The sequence below is a fragment of the Homo sapiens genome, chromosome 9 (genome assembly GCF_000001405.40).
Source record: "Homo sapiens chromosome 9, GRCh38.p14 Primary Assembly".
NCBI lineage: Eukaryota > Metazoa > Chordata > Mammalia > Primates > Hominidae > Homo > Homo sapiens.
In genome coordinates, this window is record NC_000009.12 from 96,422,247 (window position 1) to 96,444,802 (window position 22,556).

General features: G+C 43.6%; 1 annotated feature.

Annotated features, from left to right (window-relative positions):
* Window positions 1,259–1,760: an enhancer, noted in NCBI's record as "H3K27ac hESC enhancer chr9:99185787-99186288 (GRCh37/hg19 assembly coordinates)". NCBI's record gives its function as "activates a minimal SCP1, AML or CMV promoter by ChIP-STARR-seq in primed H9 embryonic stem cells {active_cell/tissue: H9 hESC(primed)}" and the evidence as "EXISTENCE:reporter gene assay evidence [ECO:0000049][PMID:30033119]".

Here is a 22,556-nt window from a genome sequence, read left to right on the forward strand (position 1 = left end):
ACTGGGGAGGCTGAGGCAGGAGAGTCTTTTGAACCCAGGAGGCGGAGGTTGCAGTGAGCCTAGATCACGCCACTGAATTCCAGCCAGGGCGACAGAGTGAGACTCCATCTCAAAATAACAACAACAACAACAAAAAAAAGCAAGGTTTTTTGTTTCACTTTGTTTTTATTTTTAATTATATATATATATATATATACACATTTATATATAAATATATTAAATATTATATATTAATTATTATAATATATTAATTATGTGTATATAAATATATAATATAATATGTATTAATTATTATATATAATATATAATATATTATATATTAATTAAATATTATATATTTATTATATAATATATAATATATATAAAATATTTTATTTTTAATTTTATATATATGTGTATATATATATATACACACACACATACACACACACTTTTTTTTTTTTTTTGAGATGGAGTCTCGCTCTGTCGCCCAGGCTGGAGTACAGTGGCGCGATCTCGGCTCACTGCAAGCTCCACCTCCCGGGTTTACACCATTCTCCTGCCTCAGCCTCCTGAGTAACTGGGATTACAGGCGCCTGCCACCACGACCGGCTAATTTTTTTTGTATTTTTAGTAAAGATGGGGTTTCGCCGTGTTACCCAGGATGGTCTCGATCTCATGACCTTGTGATCCGCCCGCCTCGGCCTCCCTAAGTGCTGGGATTACAGGCATGAGTCACCGCGCCTGGCCCATTTTTATTTTTTATGTTTTTGAGAGGGAGTCTAGCTCTGTCGCCCATGCTGGAGTGCGGTGGCAAGATGTCAGCTCACTGCGGCCTCTGCCTCCTGAGTTAAAGCTACTCTCCAGCCTCAGCCTCCCGAGTAGCTGGGACTATAGGCATGCGCCACCACACCCAGCTAATTTTTGTATTTTTAGTAGAGATGAGATTTCACCATGTTGGCTAGGCTGGTCTCCAACTCCTGGGCTCAAGTGATCCGTCCACCTTGGCCTCCCAAAGTGCTGGGATTACAGGCATGAGCCATGGTGCCGGACCCCAGCATTTGGTTTTATTGATGAGAGATACAATGCAATCTCAAGTGAGGATCAAGTGATCCTCCCACCTCAGCCTCTTGAGTAGGTAGAACTATAGCCACGCACCACCACACCTGACTAATTTTTTGTAGAAACGGGTACCACTATGTTACCCAGGCTGGTCTCCACCTCTTGGCCTCAAGCAATCCTCCTCCCCCCAGCCTCCCAAAGCACTGGATTATAGGCAGTCCTCAATCTAATTCTCATCTCTCCCCCACTTAACTAGGACTAACGATGCATTCCTAGCAGCTTGCTTTACATCAGCTAACATCCCATTGGCCAAACAAGCCACATGGCTCAGCCCAAGACTGGAGAATTATGCCCTGATGTTAGGTGGGAGGACACTGCAAAGTTACTTGGCTGAGGGTGTGGATACAAGGGAGAGTGAAGAATTGGGCCATTAACACCCTCACAGTCTGGGAGTGTGAATGCCCTCCTGTGGTGCCAGGCTGTTAACTCCAGTGCCACATGTTGAAGAGATGCTGAAAGACATGTTCTCCAGGGCACAGGTTTGCAACCCCCGGGCCGTGGACTGTGTGGCCTATTGGGAACCAGCCACACAGCAGGAGCTGAGCAGCGATAAAGAAGTATTACTGCCTGAGCTCTGCATCCTGTCAGACCAGCGGTGGCTTTCGATTCTCATAGGAGCACAAACCCTGTTGTGAACTGCGCATGTGAGGGATCTGGGATCTAGGTTGTGTGCTTCTTTTGAGAATCTAATGCCTGGTAATTTGAGGCGGGACAGTTTCACTCCAAAACCATTCCCTTTCCTCTCTCCATCTGTGGAAAGGTTGTCTTCCACAAAACGAGTCCCTGGTGCCAAAAAGGTTGGAGACCGCTGCTCCAGGGCACAGTTGCAAGTTTGCACAGGCCCTGCTATGTGACTGAGTCCCACAAAAGACATTTTGTAACAAGAGGACTAAAATATCACCCAAACTTTAAACTTGGGGCCCACGTAAACCTCAGATAAGGTAGTCTTCCCCTCATGGGAGCACGGTAAAATCTTCTTGGCTAACAGATAACTTGACTAACTATAAACAAATCATTTTTAGCTGCTTAACCACATTAGGGATAACCTACCAAACCTCCTTCAACCTGAGATCACCACATTCCTAGTAATATAGGGACTTTGGGCCTCCAGAATTGTCAGTGAGACAGCTTGGGAATGACAGTCCGATTCAGAAGGCTGTCCCAAGGACTTGCCTTGAAACTATCTTTCCATAGCAAGTATATATATGTACATATATATATGTGTGTGTGTATATATGTACATATATATATAATTTTTTAATTTAAGAGATGAGGACTATGTTACCCAGGCTTGAGTGCAGTGCCTATTCACAGGCACATCATAGCTCCCTGCAGCTTCAAACTCCTGGCCTCAAGCAATCCTCCTGCCTCAGCCTCCTAAGTAGCTGGGACTCCATGGAGCCTAACTACAAGCATGATGTTTTTACTTAAAGTATAAGTTATGTACCAATACAAAATAGTAAATAGTAAATACTTTTGCAAAACTTACACAAGATTGAGAAAGTTTCTGTTACTCCTACAAATGAATTCTACTATTATTGCTCACCTCTGGAATTGCTTTTGGTGACACAGGTGGTGATTTGGGGGACTGACCCATCTTCTAAGCATTCCTTGACACCCCCACTGTCTTCAAGGATCTGGAGGTTGGACCATTTGACCCTTCTGTAATCTTGAAAGTGACTGAGTGGGCCAGGTGACTCTTGCCTGTAATCCCAGCACTTTGGGACACCGAGGCAGGCTGATCACATGAGTTTAGGAGTTCAAGACCATCCTAGCCAACATGGTGAAACCCTATCTTTACTAAAAATACAAAAATTAGCCAGGCGTGGTGGCGCACACCTGTAGTTTCAGCTACACGGGAGGCTGAAGTAGAAGAATCGCTTGAACCCAGGAGGCGGAGGTTGCAATGAGCTGAGATTGCACCACTGCACTCCAGCCTGGGCAACAGAGGGAGACTCTGTCTCAAAAAAAAAAAAAAAAGAAAGAAAGAAAGGAAAAAGAAAATGACTAACTGACTGAGTGACTGTGAGGTACTAATATTGGTTCTCTTATGCTCCACAAAAACATCAGTTTCATTATCTTAGACCCACAATGATCAATTATCAGCTGGATATGGAATCAACTTTAAAATAATATGTGGCTCTACACTGTAAATTATACTAATTTGACTTGTTAGAATAAAATCCAAAGTAGATTTAAATGAAGCAGTTTAATTAGGACAGCAGATTCATAATACTTTCAAGAAGCACTTAAGTCTTATAAGAGGTCATTGAACTGACTCTTGGGACAGCTTCCCGTTTTATCACACTTAGGATCTGCGGGTATCTCGAGTGCCCTAGTTGTAAGCTTGTGCCAAAGGTAGTCAGTACATTTTACATCCAGGAAGACTTTCCACTGTGGTATTTCATCATGTTTATTGCCATTTAATTAAGGTAAGTAAGGACATAGACATTTTTAGTTTAAATTCTATTCCTCCTCACTTCTGTGTGTCAGAGGTCAACTTTGGAGAGTGGGTTGTCAGTACAATTATTGTTGTTTTTCTGATATTCTGTCTTTTACTTTTTACTCTGAATTATTTGAGGCTTACAGAAAAGTTGCAAAAATAGTAAATTTTTCACACATACCTCACTCAACTTCCCCTAATGCTGGCATCTTATATTACCACAACCACGTATCAAAACCAGGAAATTAACATGTGTACCATATTATTTATTAAACTACACCCCTTATTCTATTTTAATCTTTTTCTTTTTTTCCACTAATGTCTTTTTTTCTGTTCCAAGATCCTGTCTGGATCTTACATAGCATTTAGGGATTATTTGTCCTTAGTTCCCTGCAGTGAGTAACAGTTCTTCAGTGGCTCAGTGGCTCCTTGTTTTTCCTTTTTTTTTTGAGTCAAAGTCTCACACTATTGCCCTGGCTGGAGTGCAATGGTGCCATCTCGGCTCACTGCAACCTCTGTGTCCCGGGTTCAAGCGATTCTCCCACCTCAGCCTCCCAAGTAGCTGGGATTACAGGCACCCATCACCAAGCCCGGCTAATTTTTTGTATTTTTAGTAGAGATGGGGTTTCACTATATTGGCCAGGCTGGTCTCGAACTCCTGACCTCGTGACCCGCCCGCCTCAGCCTCCCAAAGTGCTGGGATTACAGGCGTGAGCCACCACACCCAGCCCCTTGTTTTTCATAATTCCGAATTGGTCAGAATTACGAAATTGGCTGGGCGCCAATGGAGAATCCTTTCTCCATTCTACGGAGAAATAATATTTCATTGTATAGCTATACTATATTTTGCTTATCTATTCATCACTTGATGGATATTTAAGTGGCTCCCACTTTTTGCCTATTATGAACAGTGGTGCTGTGAACATTCGTGTGTCTGTTTTTATGTCGATATATGTTTTTATTTTTATTTTTGGTTATACCTAGGTGTGGAATTGCTGGGTCATAGAGCAGCCGTGGGTTTAACATTTTGGGGATCCGACTTAACTTTTCCAAAGCAGCTGCACTCACTCTGTTACCCAGGCTGGAGTGCAGTGGTGTAATCATGGCTCACTGCAGCCTCAACCTCCCGGGCATAAGCAATCCTCCCACCTTCGCCTCCCAAATAGCTGGGACTACAAGTGCACAACACTATGCCCAGCTAAGTTTTGCATCTTTTTTGATACAGACATGGTCTCGCCTTGTTGCTCAGGCTGGCCTCAAACTCCTCAGCTCAAGCAATCCACCCACCTCAGCCTACCAAACTGCTGGGATTATAGGCGTGATCCACCGTGCCAAGCTGTCTCTTAATTTTTTTTAAGAATTCTATATATATGAGAACATTGCCCTTTTGTCTGTAGTATATGTTGTGAATATTTTCTCCCAAGCTGTCATCAGTTGTCTTTTGACTTCATTCATGAAATTTTTATCACATGACTTTATTTAAAAATTTATCTTTATCCTTGTGATCTGAAATGCCACCTTTTTCATATACTAAGTTTCCATATGTATTTGGGTCTAACTTTACATTCTGTTCTACCAGTCTGTTTGCCTGGGTTTTTGTTTGTTTGTTTGATTTCTGTTTTTTGTTTTTTCGAGACAGAGTCTTGCTCTGTCGCCCAGGCTGGAGTGCACTGGCGCAATCTCGGCTCACTGCAAGCTCCACCTCCCAGGTTCAAGCGATTCTCCTGCCTCAGCCTCCCAGGTAGCTTGGGACCAGAAGTGTTTGGGATTTCAGATTTTTTTGGATTATGGAATTTTTGCATATACATAATGAGATATCTTGGGGATGAGGCTTAAATCTAAACATGAAGTTAATTTACATTTCATGTGCACCTTATACACGTAGCCTGAAGGTAATTGTATACAACGTTTTAAATAAAAATAAAGGTGTGTGTATGTTGAACCATCAGAGGCGAAGATGTCACTATCTCAGCCACCAATGTGGACATCCCCATGCTTCCTGACTCTGCATTTATATGATACCAATAACCAATCATTTTCTTAAACTCACACATACGTACTTACCAGTAAAAAATATGACATTTCATTAATGCAGTGAAAAAATAATGTGTTCAGGGCACCCAAGATAGCATCACCAGATACCTGCATCAGTGGCTAAACAACAGCAGCTTCTGGTCTCTACCTATGATACTACCTTTTGATTGAAAGGCTGTACACTGTATCTTCTTTTTTTCAGTGAAAAAAAAAAACATCAGTAGCAGTTAAAGGATCAGGAAGTGGGTCCCATAGGGGTGAGGAGGCATCTGCTGGATGGCTTTTGAAAATGTTTCATTCAGCATCATCTGCCTCATTAACAACAGTTTCTGTCTTTTTTTTTTTTTTTTGAAATGGAATTTCACTCTTGTTGCCCTGGCTGGAGTGCAATGGCGCGATCTTGGCTCACTGCAACCTCCACCTCCCAGGTTCAAGCAATTCTCCTGCCTCAGCCTCCTGAGTAGCTAGGATTACAGGCATGTGCCACCACGCCTGTCTAATTTTGTATTTTTAGTAGAGACGGGGTCTCACCATGTTGGTCAGACTGGTCTCGAACTCCCAGCCTCAGGTGATCCACCCGCCTCGGCTTCCCAAAGTGCTGGGATTGCAGGCATGAGCCATCACCCCGGCCAGTTTCTGTCTTAGACGTCTCTCTTGATTTTTATGAATTGACATGATTTCTTGTTTGGTTGTGAATGCACACTGCCCTAGTTTTCAATAAGCCCATCATACATTTTCACCAGGTCCTCTATAGGTGCTTTTTCTATAGTGTTAACATCATCATCTTCACTGTCACTGTTATCACGATCACCTTGGTTCAGAACCAACTCAGATATTTCACCCTCAGTTAGTGAAGGAACAAGGCTCATTAAAAACGTCTTGAATATCCACTTCTTCCAGCTCTGACACAGACTACATATATATATGTATATATATGTATATATGTATATATGTATATATGTACATATGTATATATGTATATATGTACATATGTATATGTGTATATATGTATATATATGTATATGTGTATATATGTATATGTATGTATATTGTGTATATATGTGTATATATGTATATATATGTATATATATGTATATATGTATATATATGCATATACGTATATATGTATATATGTATATATGTATATATATGTATATATGTATATATATGTATATATGTATATATACGTATATATGTATATATGTATATATACGTATATATGTATATATGTATATATACGTATATATGTATATATGTATATATGTGTATATACGTATATATGTATATGTATGTATATGTGTGTATATATGTGTATATATGTATATATGTATATATGTGTATATATGTATATATGTATATATGTATGTGTGTGTATATATGTATATATGTATATGTATGTATATGTGTGTATATATGTATATGTATGTATATATGTGTATATATGTATGTATATATGTATATATGTATGTATATATGTATATATGTGTATATATATACACACACACACACACATATATATATATATATATTTTTTTTTTTTTGAGACGGAGTCATGCTCTGTCGCCCAAGCCGGAGTGCAGTGGAGCGATCTCGGCTCACTGCAACCTCCACCTCCTGGGTTCAAGCGATTCTCCTGCCTCAGCCTCCCAGGTAGCTGAGACTACAGGCATGTGCCACCACGCCCAGCTAATTTTTTTGTATTTTTAGTAGAGATGGGGTTTCACCATGTTGGCCAGGCTGGTCTCGAACTCCTGACCTCAGGCGATCCACCTGCCTTGGCCTCCCAAAGTGCTGGGATTACAGGCGTGAGCCACCGCACCCAGCCGACACAAACATTTTTGATGAAAATTTCAGCTGGGGAATGAGCAAAATCGGTATCAAGGAATAACAAAATCTTACAGTCCTCATTCAGTTTAGTTTCTTTGCAGTGAGCACATGCCACTAGTACAAAATGTTTGTGAAAACAATTAGAAAAGCTGTCCCTGATGATCCCTGCCTTTTTGTTAGCAGAACAATGGACTGGTAAAAAATTCACTCCTTGAAAACAGCAAGCTTTTTCACCTGCCTGTCACAGTAAGTTTACATTTATGTGTGCCTGCTGCATGAGCACATTGCAACATAGTTATTCTGTCCTTGGCATCCCTAATTCCTGTAGGGGCTGTCTCACCAGCTGTAGTCAATGTATTTCTGGGGTAATAACAGCAAAACAATAATGTTTCATCAGCATTATAGACTTGTTCTGCTGTCAGATTTTCATCAGCAATGACCTTGGCACACTAGTTAATTTCTCTGCTGCTTCATGATCACCACGAATCTTTAAAAAAATTTAATGCTGTGTCTTCTCTTAAATCTGCACCTAGCCTGCTGAATATTCACAGTTCCCTTCAATATTCAGTTCATCGTGATAGATCTTTGCTTGTCTCATGATAAGCAGGCCATTAAGTGGCATATGCTCACTGCAATGCTAATGGATGCACTCTTTCAATACATGATCAAGATCTTCATTTTCAGCTTTGCAGTGTTTTTCTATTTTTCATTAACTTCTATCCATCACTTTTAGCACAGAAGTTCAACAGTTTATCCATCTGTTTCTTCAGGTCACATATGGTGGTCATTCCAACACCATACTGTTCTGTAAGGCATTTCACACTTCCACCGCCATCCAATTTTTCCAACAGCATGACTTTCTGTGCTATAGATAAACATAAGTGCTTCTTTTTTTTCTTATCACTGTTACCCATAGGGGTATCTTTTTGGCATTTCCAACAATATCTTTAAACACAGAGCAGAGAATAAGCAAAAAAAAAAAAAAACACAGTGAGTAATGCACATAGGTCTTGGCCCTATATGGGGCATTGTGGGGAACCTGCCATTGGTGCATCCAGCTGCATATGTACAATTTTATTACCCTTTACAGGCACGCTTGTTGGGGGGTAATCTGGGCATGCACAGAAAAGATATACCACAGCTGAAAGGGGCCGGGAGGGTCTTTTTTTCTGTTGGGGATGCTGAATAAACCATGTTGTGCAACTGCATTTTGACTGCAACCTATCACATGAGGTCAGGTGTGGAATGTTCCATTTCTGGCATCATGTGAGCACTCGAAAAGTTTCAGATTTTGGAGCATTTTCAAGTTTGGATTTTCAGGTTAGGGATGCTCAACCTGTAATTGATTTCTGTCATCTAATCATAGTAGTTAACACCTCCAATACAATGTTGAAAAGTAGTGGATAGTGAACATCCTTGCCTTATTTCCAATGCTAGAATTCCCTATAGTGTATCCCCATTAAATAAGAAACTAATTTTAGGAATAACATTCAATTATGTTAAGAACGTATTTTTTAATTCCTATCTTCCTGAGTGCTTTATGACGAATGTATGTGGATTTTTTTCCAAAGGCTTTCTCTGCTTTTAAGGAGGTAATAATATTATCTTTTTTCTTTTTTCGAGACGGAGTCTCGCTCTGTCGCCCAGGCTGGAGTGCAGTGGCTCAATCTCGGCTCACTGCCAGCTCTGCCTCCCGGGTTCATGCCATTCTCCTGCCTCAGCCTCCCGAGTAGCTGGGACTACAGGCGCCCACCACCAGGCCTGGCTAATTTTTTGTATTTTTAGTAGAGACGGGGTTTCACCGTGTTAGCAGGATGGTCTTGATCGTGATCCGCCTGTCTTGGCCTCCAAAAGTGCTGGGATTACAGTCGTGAGGCACCGCGCCCGACTGTTTTTTTTTTTGTTTTTTTTTTTTTTTTTTTTTTTTGAGAGGAGTCTTGCTCTGTCTCCCAGGCTGGACTGCAGTGGTGCAATCTCGGCTTACTGCAAGCTCCGCCTCCCGGGTTCACGCCATTCTCCCGCCTCAGCCTCCCGGGTAGCTGGGACTACAGGCGCCCACCACCACACCTGGCTAAATTTTTGTATTTTTAGTAGAAACGGGGTTTTAGTAGTTTTAGTAGAGACAGGGTTTCACCGTATTAGCCAGGATGGTCTCGATCTCCTGACCTCGTGATCTGCCCGCCTCAGCCTCCCAAAGTGCTGGGATTACAGGTGTGAGCCACCATGCCCGGCCAGCCAGGCTGGTCTTGAACTCCTGACCTCAGGTGATCCGCCTGCCTCAGCCTCCCAAAGTTCTAGGATTACAGGCTTGAGCCACAGTGCCTGGCCTATATAATTTTTAAAAAGCAATATGGACAAAAGAATAAGACCCAGAGGGGATACACACACATACACACACAAAAGGGTAGTCTCTAATTGGTAGGTGTCTAGTACATAGGGTCTATGGTTCAATCTGTCCCTTTTGGTATAAATTAGCATGCCAAGATACAGTTTGAGTCAGCCAATCCTCAAGAATTACATTTTTATCTGAGGTACATTTTAGAATCTAATGTAGTGTCATTAGACACATGTGCAAATTTTTTTTTTTTTGAGATGGAGTCTTGCTCTGTCACCCAAGCTGAAGTGCAAGGCATGAGCTCGGCTCACTGCAACCTTTGCCTCTTGGATTCAAGCCATTCTCCTGCCTCAGCCTCCTGAGTAGCTGGGATTACAGGTGTGCGCCACCACGTCCAGATAATATTTTGTATTTTTAGTAGAGACTTCTACTAAAGGCTTCACCATGTTAGCCAGGCTGGTCTTGAACTCCTGACCTCAAGAGATCTGTCTACCTTGGCCTCCAAAAGTGCTGGGATTACAGGCATGAGCCACTGTGCCGGGCCAAGATGTGCACGTATTTTGTGTGCATACTGTTCACCATCCCCCGCAACTACATGGAAAGCTTGTCTGGGAGTTTAGATAAAGATGGCTCCAGAGCTCTTGCCGAATTCCCTGGCTATATCAGGTGCTCAAAAGTTGATGACTTACTATTATTTTGATATAATCATAACCCTTCATGATGCTTTGCAGGTGTTCAAAGCTCTTCTATGTATTTTCTTATTCGACCCTCACAACATCTCTTATTGGGCTGACTTAGCAGAGTATCTGCGTTTTATAGCTAAAGAGAAAAATATCAAAGAGATTAAGTGGCTTTGCTAAGGCCATATGGCTCACATGGGGTAGGGCTAGGACTGGCACAAATCCACTCTTCTTTGCTTTATGCCGTAGTGCTCATCAGAGCCTGAATTTCTTTTAAGATATGTTTTAATAATATGTCCCATCACAGTGTTTGATAAATGATAACATCAATAGCAGAGATATCATGTAGGCAAAAACAATTTAGGAATTGCATTTTTAAGTGCTCACTCAGCCTTAAGAGGGTAATTATATAATGAATTTAGAAAACCCAACCACTTTTAAAGACTTACTGTAATGGCAGAAATGATATTGGATGCTAAGCAAAAGAATCAAGTACACTGTGTTGCTCAGCATTTCTATTTAGTTGGAAGCAAGAGTTTTCAGATATTTCACCCCCTATTTATTCGACAAATATTTATTAAGTGTCAGTTGCGTGTCAGCTCTGTTCTCCGCACTGGAAATACAGCAGTGAGCAAAACAATCCCTGCTCTCAGGAAGCTCAAACTCTTGTGGAAGGGACCAGGAAACAAACAAATGCATATACACAGTGGACAATGCGATGGAGGAAGAAAAGGTGGAAAATGGGGCAGAGAGGCTGGTCAGAAGCTGGGTGTGGTGGGGTGTGCCTATGGTCCCAGCTACTAGGGAGGCTGAGGCAGGAAGATTCCTTGAGCCCTGGAGTTGGGGGCTGCAGACTGTGCCACTCCACTCCAGGCTGGGCAACAGAGCAAGAACCCATCTTTTTTTTTTTTTTTTTGAGATGGAGTCTTGCTCTGTTGCCCAGGCTGGAGCGCAGTGGTGCGATCTTGGCTCACTGCAACCTCCGTCTCCCAGGTTTAAGCAGTTCTCTGCCTCAGCCTCCCAAGTAGCTCGGATTACAGGCGAGTGCCACCACACCAGGCTAATTTTTGTATTTTTAGTAGAGACGGAGTTTCAGCCATCTTGACCAGGCTGGTCTTGAACTCCTGACCTCATGATCCACCCGCGTCGGCCTCCCAAAATGCTGGGATTACAGGCGTGAGCCATTGCGCCCAACCGAACCCATCTCTTAAAAAAAGAAAGAAAGAAAGAAAAGAAAAGCTGGTCAGGGAAGTTCTCTTTGATTAGGAGACATCTGAGCAGGGACTTAAAAGAATTTAGGGAGTGAGCCATCTTAGGGAAACTTGGCTCTGAGCAGAGCAAACAGCAGGTAGAAACATCCTTTAACAGTAGAAAGGCCCTGGGGCAGGAGAAAAAAATTCTCTCATTCTCTCTCTCTCTCTTTCTCTCTTTTTTTTTAAAGAGGCAGGGTTTTGCTCTGTCGCCCAGGCTGGAGAGGAGTGGCATGATCACAGCTCACTGTAACCTTGAACTAGGCTCAGGCAATCCTCCCACCTCAGCCTCCCGAGTAGCTAGAACTACAGGCATGCCCCACCACACCTGGCTAATTTTTACTTTTTTGTAGAGATAAGGTCTCACTGTGTTGCCCAGGCTGGTCTCAAACTCCTGGTCTCAAGCAATCCACGTACCTCAGCCTCCCAACGTACTGGAATTACGGGTGTGAGTTTCATTCTTAAAAGTGTAGAAAACAGCTGGGCATGGTGGCGGGCGCCTGTAGTCCCATCTTGGGAGGCTGAGACAGGAGAATCACCTGAACCCGGGAGGCGGAGGTTGCAGTGAGCGGAGATCGTGTCATTGCACTGCAGCTTGGACATTAACAGCGAAACTCCGCCTCAAAACAAAAGTGTAGAAGACAAATTCTCTCATTCCCAAGTGATCCAGAGGAGGGCCAATAACTCTCAACTTTTCCCCCAATATTAAAGGTAGTGAGAAGAATGTCTTGTATTTACATGATTACTTTTATTTAAAATAATATTTCTAATAAATAGTAAAAGCTACTATGCCTCTGTTACCTAAAAAATGTCAAATATTTTTAAGAATAAAATATTGATCATTTTATTTATTCATTCTACATATCATTATGTCTTCACCATGCAGACAACTTTGTCTTTCTTCTTTAATAAATTGAAGTTTTACCTAAAGGGCTTACTTAAGCTACACACATCATGAAGTGCTTGAAAAATTTAGTTGGCCAGGGAAGAACAACCAGAAGAGATGGCTTTCCAGCTGGACATTTGTTGAACTGAACTGCCTTCTGTGTCACAGAAAGCACACTTCTCTCTCACGATGTTCATCTCCCGTCCTCTTGGATTTTTGCCTATGCTGTGGAAATACCCAGGATATTGGGTATCTTTGTGTTACTGACTTCCCAGCTTAATGATCTGTAAGGCCAAAACTTAAGTGACTTAAAACAACCACCATTTCATTTTCTTATAATTCCGTGGGTTGACTGAGCTCAACTAGGCAGTTCTGCTGGTCTTGTTTTGTATGTCTCTGGCAGTTGCAGTCAGATGGCAAATGGGGCTAAAGTGATCTGGAAATTTGCCAGTAATAAAGGAATGGCTGAGTCTTTCTCCTTCCCCATATAGTTTTAGGGCTTCTCCTCTCCAAGTGGCCTTTCCATGTGGCTGCTTGGGCTTCCTTACAGAATGGCAGCTGGGTCCAAGGAGAATCCCAAGAAAAAGAAAGCAGAAGCTGCCATTTCTTTTAAAAGCTAGGTCCGGAATTGGCACAGCATCATTCCCACTACATTCTATTAGGTAACATGAGTCACAGCCAGTCCAGATTCAATGAGGGAGGTGACTGCACAAACACACGAGAACTGCGAGGTGTACCTCATTGTGAGCCATCTCTGCAGAACAGTCCTAACACCTTCTCATTTGCATTGTCTTTATGTATATTTACTTTTGTTGGATAATCAAACAGAAAGCCCACAGGACATGCTGGTACAAAGTATGAGGCAGAGTAAAAGGAAGGACTAACACTTTCTGGTGGGGGAACGAACAACCTTGAAGTAAAGGTGGCTTCCAAGCTTTCTCTGGAATGGTGAATAGTCTCCCTGAGGAGCTCAGGGAGGGTAAGTCAAGCAGAGGAAACAGCATACGTGAGGTCACTGAGGCCTGAAGGAGCCAGGGATGTTTGTAGAACATAGTCCTGTAAGGATCATATGAGAGGGTGGAGAAGGTGGTGGAAAAAACTGGAGAGGAAAGCTGGCATATGATTAAGAAAGTATAGCTAGTCATGGTGATACATGCCCATGGTCCCAGCTACTTGAGAAGCTGAGATTGCTTGAGCCTAGGAGTTTAAGACCAGTCTGGGCAACATAGCAAGACTCTGTATGAAAAAATAAAATAAAATAGAGAGAGAGAAGAGAGAGAAAGAGAGAGAATGAATGAATGAAAACAAGGAAAAAAACAAAAGAGAAAAAAATAAAGAAAAGGTTCTATCTGAAAATGAGTTAGCCAAGCTCGAGGTGAAGGGCACAGTCCTTCAGACTGCCAAGTCTGCCTAAGACTGCAGACAACAGCCACGATGAGTCAGAGCAGATAGGTGCCACAAGAGTGTCCTCAAGTCAGACACCAGCCTCAAGTTTGGGGGCTCCCTGGGCCACCCTCATTCAGACCAGCTAGCTGCAAATTAGGGTTCCCATGACCACCCTCAGGTCTGATAATTCACTAGAATGACTCACAGAACTCTGGAAAGTGTTATATTTGTGGTTATAGCTTTGTTACAGTGGAAGGCTACAACTCAGAACCAGCCAAAGGAAGAGACACCTCAAGCGAAAACCATAGTGGATCCCCATGTGCAGCGCTCCTGTCTTCAGGAATGGTTACCGGCCTGGTGTCCACGTGTGGCAATGCACTGGAGGACTGCCAGCCCAGGAAGCTCAGCTGAGCCTCTGATGTCCTCGTTCTTACTGGGACTTGATCACACACTGTTTGCATGGCTGACCTTTTTAGTCTCTGCCCCTCCGGAGGTCGCAACTGATAGGGCATGTCCCAAAGCCCCCACCAGAAATCACATGATTATGGTTGTCTGATCGCAAAAGCACTCCAGGCAAATAAATAACTATAAGGCAGGATATTCCAGGGACCCCCAAGTCACCTCTCAGTAGCCACACGCACAAAGGCCAGGCCTCTCTTCAGAGGAAGTGAATTCTGCACCGCACAGCACCCTGCTGTATTGTGAATACAGGTTAGGAGTGCAGGCTTTGGAGTGTGTCTGGGTTTGCCTGCCCTGTGTGGTCGCCAGTCGCTGTGAGGCCTGGTTCTTCTGTCCTTCAGCACACTTGTGGGACTGTGCTTCCGTGCACCCTTTGAAGACAGGGGTGGTCTCGTGACCTGCCTCAGCTGAGCAGCAGAGCTTCAGGAATCAATGCCAGATTCACCACAGGCCCTTTCCTCTACCTCAGGGAGCGGAGAGGGTGTTGAGATGAAGGCTCCATCAGCCTGGACCCCTGAGTAACCGGGGGGATCATGTGTCCACCCCAACCCTTGCCAGACTTGCTGCGTGCGTGAGAAATAAACCTTTGTTGTGTGAAACTGCTGAGATGTCAGATGTTCTTTGCCACAGAATATCTTTTTTTTTTTTCAGACGGAGTCTCGATCTGTCACCAGGCTGCAGTGCAGTGGCGCGATCTTGGCTCACTGCAACCTCCATCTCCTAGGTTCAAGCCGTTCTCCTGCCTCAGCCTCCTGAGTAGCTGGGATTACAGGTGTGTGCCACCACGCCCAGCTAATTTTTGTATTTTTAGTAGAGATGGGGTTTCACCATGGTGGCCAGGATGGTCTCGATCTCTTGACTTCGTGATCCGCCCGCCTCAGCATCCCAGAGTGCTGGGATAACAGGTGTGAGCCACTCTGCCTGCCCGGCCCACAGAATATCTTAGTCTAGCCTGATGTTACATCACCGGTGACCTTGGGCAAGTTCTTCAGCTCCCCTGCTCCTCAGTTTTCTCACCTGTAAAATGGGGACAATAGTGCTAACCTCTCAAGACTCTGGTGAGAAGAACTGAGTTACACACTGTGTCAGTTTGTTCCGGCTGCCATAACAAAGGCCCATAGGCTGGGGGGCTTAACCATGGAAAATTTACTTCCTCACAGTTCTGGAGGCTGGAAGTCCCAGATCAAGGTGTTGGCAGGGCTAGATTCTTCTGAGGCCTCTCTCCTGGGCTTGCTGCTGGCTGTCTTCTCCCTCTGTCTTCACAGAACCTTTGCTTTATGCATGTCTGTGCCCTACTCTCTTCTTATAAGGACAACAGCCATATAGGATTAGGGTTCACCCTGATGACCTCATTTTAATTTAATTTCCTCAAAAGACCCCATCTCCACATATAGTCACATCTCAAGGTACTGGGGGTCAGGATTTCAACATATGAATTTTAGCGGGTCAAATTCAGCCCATAACACACATGGAAAACATTTACAGTGGAACAGCACGTGGTGCATAGTGAATGTTCAATCATATTAGCTATTATTATTACTATCATTATATTTTATATACACTGACAAGAAAATATAGCCAATAGTTTTACCTGAACAAGGTTGCTGAACAATATATTTGCCATTATCTCTATTTAATTAATAATAAGCAAAGAATCATGTATACTTAAGGACAAAAAATTATTTAAAATATGCCAATCTGGGTTGGGCGTGGTGGCTCACACCTGTAATCCCAGCACTTTGGGAGGCCAAGGCTGGTGGATCACCTGAGGTCAGGAGTTCAAGACCAGCCTGGCCAACATGGTGAAACCCCGTCTCTACTAAAAATATAAAAATCGGCTGGCTCCTGTGTAGCTGGGATTACAGATGCATGCCACCACGCCCAGCTAATTTTTGTATTTTTAGTAGAGCCTGATGTTTAGTGTAGCCTGATGTTACATCATGGGTGACCTTGGGCAAGTTCTTCAGCTCCCCAATCTGAAAAGGCTACCTCCTGTACTAGCCAACTCTATGACATTCTGGAAGGATATGTCCAGAGGCAAAACTATGGAGACAGTGAAAAGATCAGTGGTTGCCAGGGGTTGATGGGGGAGGGTGGGATGAAGAGGCAGAGCCCAGAGGTTACTTAGGGCAGCAGCCCTGCTCTGTGTGATACCATAATGGTAGATACATGTCATTATACATTTGTCCAAACACACAGAATGTGCATCCCCACAACTGAGCCCTAGTGCCAACTACACACTCTGGGTGATAACAATGCATGGATGTGGGCTCAGTGATTGTAACACGTGTGCCATTATGGCGGGGAATGTTGGCAGTGGAGAGGCTGTGAGTGGAAGCAGGGGGCTTATGGAGCTCTGTACTTTCTGGTCAATTTTGCTGTGCATATGAAACCACTCTAAAAGTAGTCTATTACAGTTTTTTAAAATGCAAAACAAATAATATGCTAAACTGTTAATAATGATGGGGGAGGGGTATATTACAAGGATATTTGGTCATATATTTTGATAATATTTGAATTTCTTTTTACCTGTGTGTGTGTCTATGTAAATTTGTAATCAGAAAAAAAAAATGTGTAAGAAAACAAAAGGGTAGCCAGCTCCTGGGGATCAATAATCAAAAACAAGGGCGGTTGGTCCACATCTTGTACTTCTGCACATGCAAGGCCTAACTCTCAGCTGATGCTCCATAAAGGTTGGCAACATCCTCACTGCTTGCTAATCTCTCAGCTGGGTCATAGCTCCAAAAGATGTTGGGAAGGAAGGGCTCATCCCCTCAGAAGTAACCTCTGTCCCCTCTCTAGTAAGACCTGGCTAGGATTGAGAACTCCAAAGGACAGAGGGGCAAAGACTTAGGAGGGGGCTCTGTATGTGTGAAGAGGTGTTCAGATGTCTGTGGGAAGGGACCCTGAAGGAAGGACCACCAGGACCAGAACAGACAGGGAGGGGCTTTCACAGGCGACTTCAGCGACCATAGCACATGGTGAGGCCTTTTAAGCCAATGTAGAAGATAGCAAGTCTACTGGGTCTTTGCCCCGTAGACTATTTATATATGATGGGGTTTTCTGTTTGTTTGTTTGTTTTTTCGAGACAGAGTCTCACTCTGTCGCCCAGGCTGGAGTGCAGTGGTGCAATTTCAGCTCACTGCAAACTCCACTTCCTGGGTTCAAGCAATTCTTGTGCCTCAGCCTCCAGAGTAGCTGGGATTACAGGCGCACGCCACCACGCCCGGCTAATTTTTTGTATTTTTAGTAGAGACGGGGTTTCACCATGTTGGCCAAGATGGTCTTGAACTCCTGACCTCAGGCAATCCATCCACCTCGGCCTCCCAAAGTGCTGGGATTATCGGCTTGAGCCACCGTGCCCAGCCTATATATGTTTTACAACATGGCAGTGGCTTTGGCTTAGACTTAGAAAATCTGAGGTCAAATTCCAGCTTTACTAATTGCTACTGCTGTGATCTCAGACAAATCATTTAGGTGTCTGACCATACGTTTCCTTGTGTATAAAATGATGATCATGATGCCAGTTTTCCAGGATCTTTGTAAAGATTTCCTGGCATAATGTGGGTGCTCACTTGATTAATGGATTGAGATATTTCTTTAAGAAGTGAACACCAATAGGCTGAACTGAGGAATTTGTAGGTAGGAACTGGGGTGGGGGTGAGCAGGAAAAAGAAGGCTTTCATGCAGAAAATGGGGCCTTCTACACTTTGTGTGTGTGTGTGTGTGTGTGTGAAATGGAGTTGTTGCCCAGGTTGAGGGCAATGGCATGATCTCGGCTCACTGCAACCTCCACCTCCTGAGTTCAAGCAACTCTCCTGCCTCAGCCTCCTGAGTAGCTGGCATTACAGGTGCCTGGACCACGCCTGGGTAATATTTGTATTTTTAGTAGAGACAGGGTTTCACCATGTTGCCCAGGCTCGTCTTGAACTCCTGATCTCAGCCTCGGCCTCCCAAAGTGCTGAGACTATAGGCATGAGCCACCGTGCCTGGCCAACAGTTTTAATTCTGTTTACAAACATCTATAAAATGTTATGTGTAATATGATAATACAATTTTAAAAATATTCCCAAGGGGAATAAATTAATCTCCTAAGAGTAAAAATGCACCTCCTCAGGTATTAAATAAACCTGAAGGAGTTGAAAGAGCTCTGATGGTCCTAGGTGTGGCTGGGTAGGGGTGTGTTACACTGGGAAAGGCTCGACTGGTTAAGAGCTTGGACTTAGATGACCATTCTGAGATGGGAAGTGAATCCTTGAGCCTATAATGACTTCTTTTTATTTTGTTTTGAGACAAAGTCTCACTCTGTCCCCGGGCTGGAGTGCAGTGGTGCAATCATGACTCACTGCAGCCTCAATCTCCTGGGCTCAAGAGATCCTCCCACCTCAGCCTCCTGAGTAGCTGGGACTATAGGTATGTCCCACAATGCCCTGCTAATTTTTTTTTTTTTTTGAGACAGTTTCACTCTTGTTGCCCAGGCTGCAGTGCAATGGCACAATCGACTCACTGCAACCTCCGCCTCCTGGGTTCAAGCGATTCTCCTGCCTCAGCCTCCCAAGTAGCTGGGATTACAGGCATGCACCACCACATCCAGCTAATTTTGTATTGTTAGTAGAGACGAGGTTTCTCCATGTTGATCAGGCTGGTCTCGAACTCCCGACCTCAGGTGATCTGCCTGCCTCGGCCTCCCAAAGTGTTGGGATTACAGGCATGAGCCACCGTGGCCAGCCTCCCTGCTAATTTTTTAATTTTTAATTTTATCTGTAGACACAAAGTCTCCCAATGTTGCCCAGGCAGGTCTCAAACTCCTAGGCTCAAGTGATCCTCTTGCCTTAGCTTCCCAAAGTGTTGGGATTACAGGCATGAGCCACTGTGCCTGGCCTAAAGACTTCTTAAACAGACAATTTTTCCTAGCAGCTACAGTGATTGTTAAGAAAGCAACTGTGGCCAACTCTTAACAAAGCCCTTGGATATCTCTAAGTAATCCAGGCTGCTGCTGATTTCCACATTTTCTCTGGCCAAATTTATCCCAGGACCTACTTTGATTGATTAATCCAAGAATGGGATGCAAATCTCTTCATGTCCCTCTCCTCAATTTAAAATTTTTGTGTAATAATCATTCAAGTGTGAGAATATATATGTCTACAGTCACTCAACATTGTTGAGAATGGTGAAAAATGGGAAACACTAAAATGTCCACTACTAGGGAACTGGTTAAGTACATTATAGTATGCAAGTTATTAAGGTATTGCCTGGCAGCACCAAACTCACCCTTTATTGCCTGCACTGTGAAAAATGCATCTGGCTGGACCTTTTAAATTGTTTTCCTTTGCCAGAAGTTTGATGTTAAGCCCTGTCAGTAGAGGGAGCTAGAGGGACACTGGAGGAGAAAGAATACTTCTTTTCTTAGATCTGGGGTAGCTTGCTTGCCAGGCTCCTGCAGAGCACACTTTTTTCCTCACCACTTGGCCCCAAGTGGTTTTTTTCTCTACGGCCTGCTAGGCTTCTACTTTTTCCAGCTTTCAATTTAAGCAGTAGTGGCAGGATAGCCAGGAGCCCCAGAACACATGGGGCCTGCGCTCCAGCAAAGGGACCTCCGTCCCTATGCGGTAGTCAGGCTATCTTTTTCAATGATGTGCCTAGGTCCCAGGCTGAACACATTAAATGTACCAGCTGCTGGATAAGGCTAAACTGCCTCAGCCAAAAAGGACGATTGGGTATCTATCCAGATGATACTGACAGATCTAATTTCTGACTGTGTATCTTTACTTTAGCTCCATGCTTCTAAAATTTTACTGTATACAGGAATCTCCTACAGATGTTGTAAAGTGTAAATTCTAATTCAGTAGCTCTGGGATAGGCCTGAAATTCTGCATTTCTAAAAAGTTCTCAGATGTGGAAGCTGCTGGTCCACAGACCATCCTTAAAGAAGTGAGGTGTTAGCTTATGAACACACTTCTGAAGTGTAGTCTAAATAGGAGAACAGCCCTATTTCAACATCTTAGCCCAATGTTAGCACAGACACAGTATAACTTTCACTCTGCAAAATGATATTTTGTGGGAGGTCTGTGTATACCAGTTGCCCCCACTAGGGCCTCAGTAAGCATATCCTCATATCATTTCTTTTTTTTTTTTTTTTTTTGGCTCTGTCGCCCAGGCTGGAGTGCAGTGGTGCCATCTCAGCTCACTGCAAGCTCCGCCTCCTGGGTTCATGCCATTCTCCTGCCTCAGCTTCTCGAGTAGCTGGGACTACAGGCGCCCGCCACCACATCCGGCTAATTTTTTGTATTTTTAGTAGAGACGGGGTTTCACCGTGTTAGCCAGGATGGTCTCGATCTCCTGACCTCATGATCCACCTGCCTCGGCCTCCCAAAGTGCTGGGATAATAGGTGTGAGCCACTGTGCCCAGTCCATCATTTCTTTTTCTTTCTTTTATTTTATTTTATTTTCTTTTTTTTTTTTAATTGAGACAGGGTCTCACTCTGTCACCCAGGCTGGAGTGCAGTGGTGTGAACATGGTTCACTGCTGCCTCTACCTCCTGGGTCCAGGTGATCCTCTCATCTCTCAGTCTCCCAAGTAGCTGGGACCACAGGAGCATGCCACCATGCCTGGCTAATTTTTAAATTTTTTGTAGGGACAGGGTCCCACTGTGTTGCTCAGGCTTGTCTTGAAATCATTTCTATTAGTGATCTAGCTGTGGGTTTACACACAATTCCCCTTTACAGCAATTTTTTTTTTTTAAATGGAGTTTCACTCTTGTCACCCAGGCTGGAGTGCAATGACGAAATCTTGGCTCACTGCAACCTCTGCCTCCCGGGTTCAAGCAATTCTCCTGTCTCAGCATCTCGAGTAGCTGGGATTACAGGAGTGCACCACCACGCCTGGCTAATTTTTGTATTTTTAGTAGAGACGGGGTTTCACCATGTTGGCCAGGCTGGTCTTGAACTTCTGACCTCAAATGACCCACCCGCCTCAGCTTCCCAAAGTGCTGAGATTACAGGTGTGAGCCACTGAGACTGGTTCCCTTTAGAGTGATTCTAAGAACTAGTGCTTTATATACACAGTGATGTCTGCCTCCTGCTTGCATAGGTCTTTAAGGAGAGAGACTATGTCCTACTAACACCCCATGTTTTAGCTCAATGCTTAGCAGTAGAGCATGACAGTTAGACGTGTTCATGAGCCTGACTCTTCCACTTGCTGAGGCATTCATCTCAGCATACCATGGGACTGAAAAAGCATCTACCTCATCAGGTTCAGAATTAAATGAACAGGCCAGGCGTGGTGGCTCATGCCTGTAATCCCAGCACTTTGGGAGGCCGAGGCAGGCAGATCACCTGAGGTCGGGAGTTCGAGACCAGCCTGACCAACATGGAGAAACCCCGTCTCTACTAAAAATACAAAATTAGCCTGGCGTGGTGGCACATGCCTCTAATCCCACCTATTAGGGAGGCTGAGGCAGGAGAATCGCTTGAACCTGGGAGGCGGAGGTTGCGATGAGCCGAGATCGCGCCATTGCACTCCAGCCTGGGCAACAGAAGCGAAACTCCATCTAAAAAAAAAAGAATTAAATGAACAGATACAAAATGCTTAGAAATGATTAGAAATTATTACTCGTACCCAGTAAGCACTATATAAGATTCAGCTTACAATTATCCACAAATGTGTAAAATAATAAATCTTTCAGAAAAAGAAACAGTATCACATCTGTTTGTCTTATAATATGCATTTATCAGCTTCTCATCTATTAATTAATTTGCTGCATTTTTACTTTTTTTTTTTTGAGACAGGGTCTCACTGTGTTGCCCAGGCTAGAGTATAGTGGCATGATAATGGCTCACTGCAGTCGCAACCTCCCTGGCTCAAGTGATCCTCCAACCTCAACCTCCCGAATAGCTGGGACCGCAGGTGTACACCACCACAGCTGGCTAATGTTTAAATTTTTTTGTAGAGATGGGGTCTCATGGTGTTACCCAGGCTGGTCTTAAACTCCTGGGCTCATGTGATCCTCATGCCTTGGGCTCCGAGAGTGCTGAGATTAAAGTAAAAATGTGGCCACCACACTCAGCCACATTTTTATTTTTAACACATGTAAAATTACTTGTCATAAGTACATGTATATAAACAAGAAATTCATTCACCAAACAACAAATATTT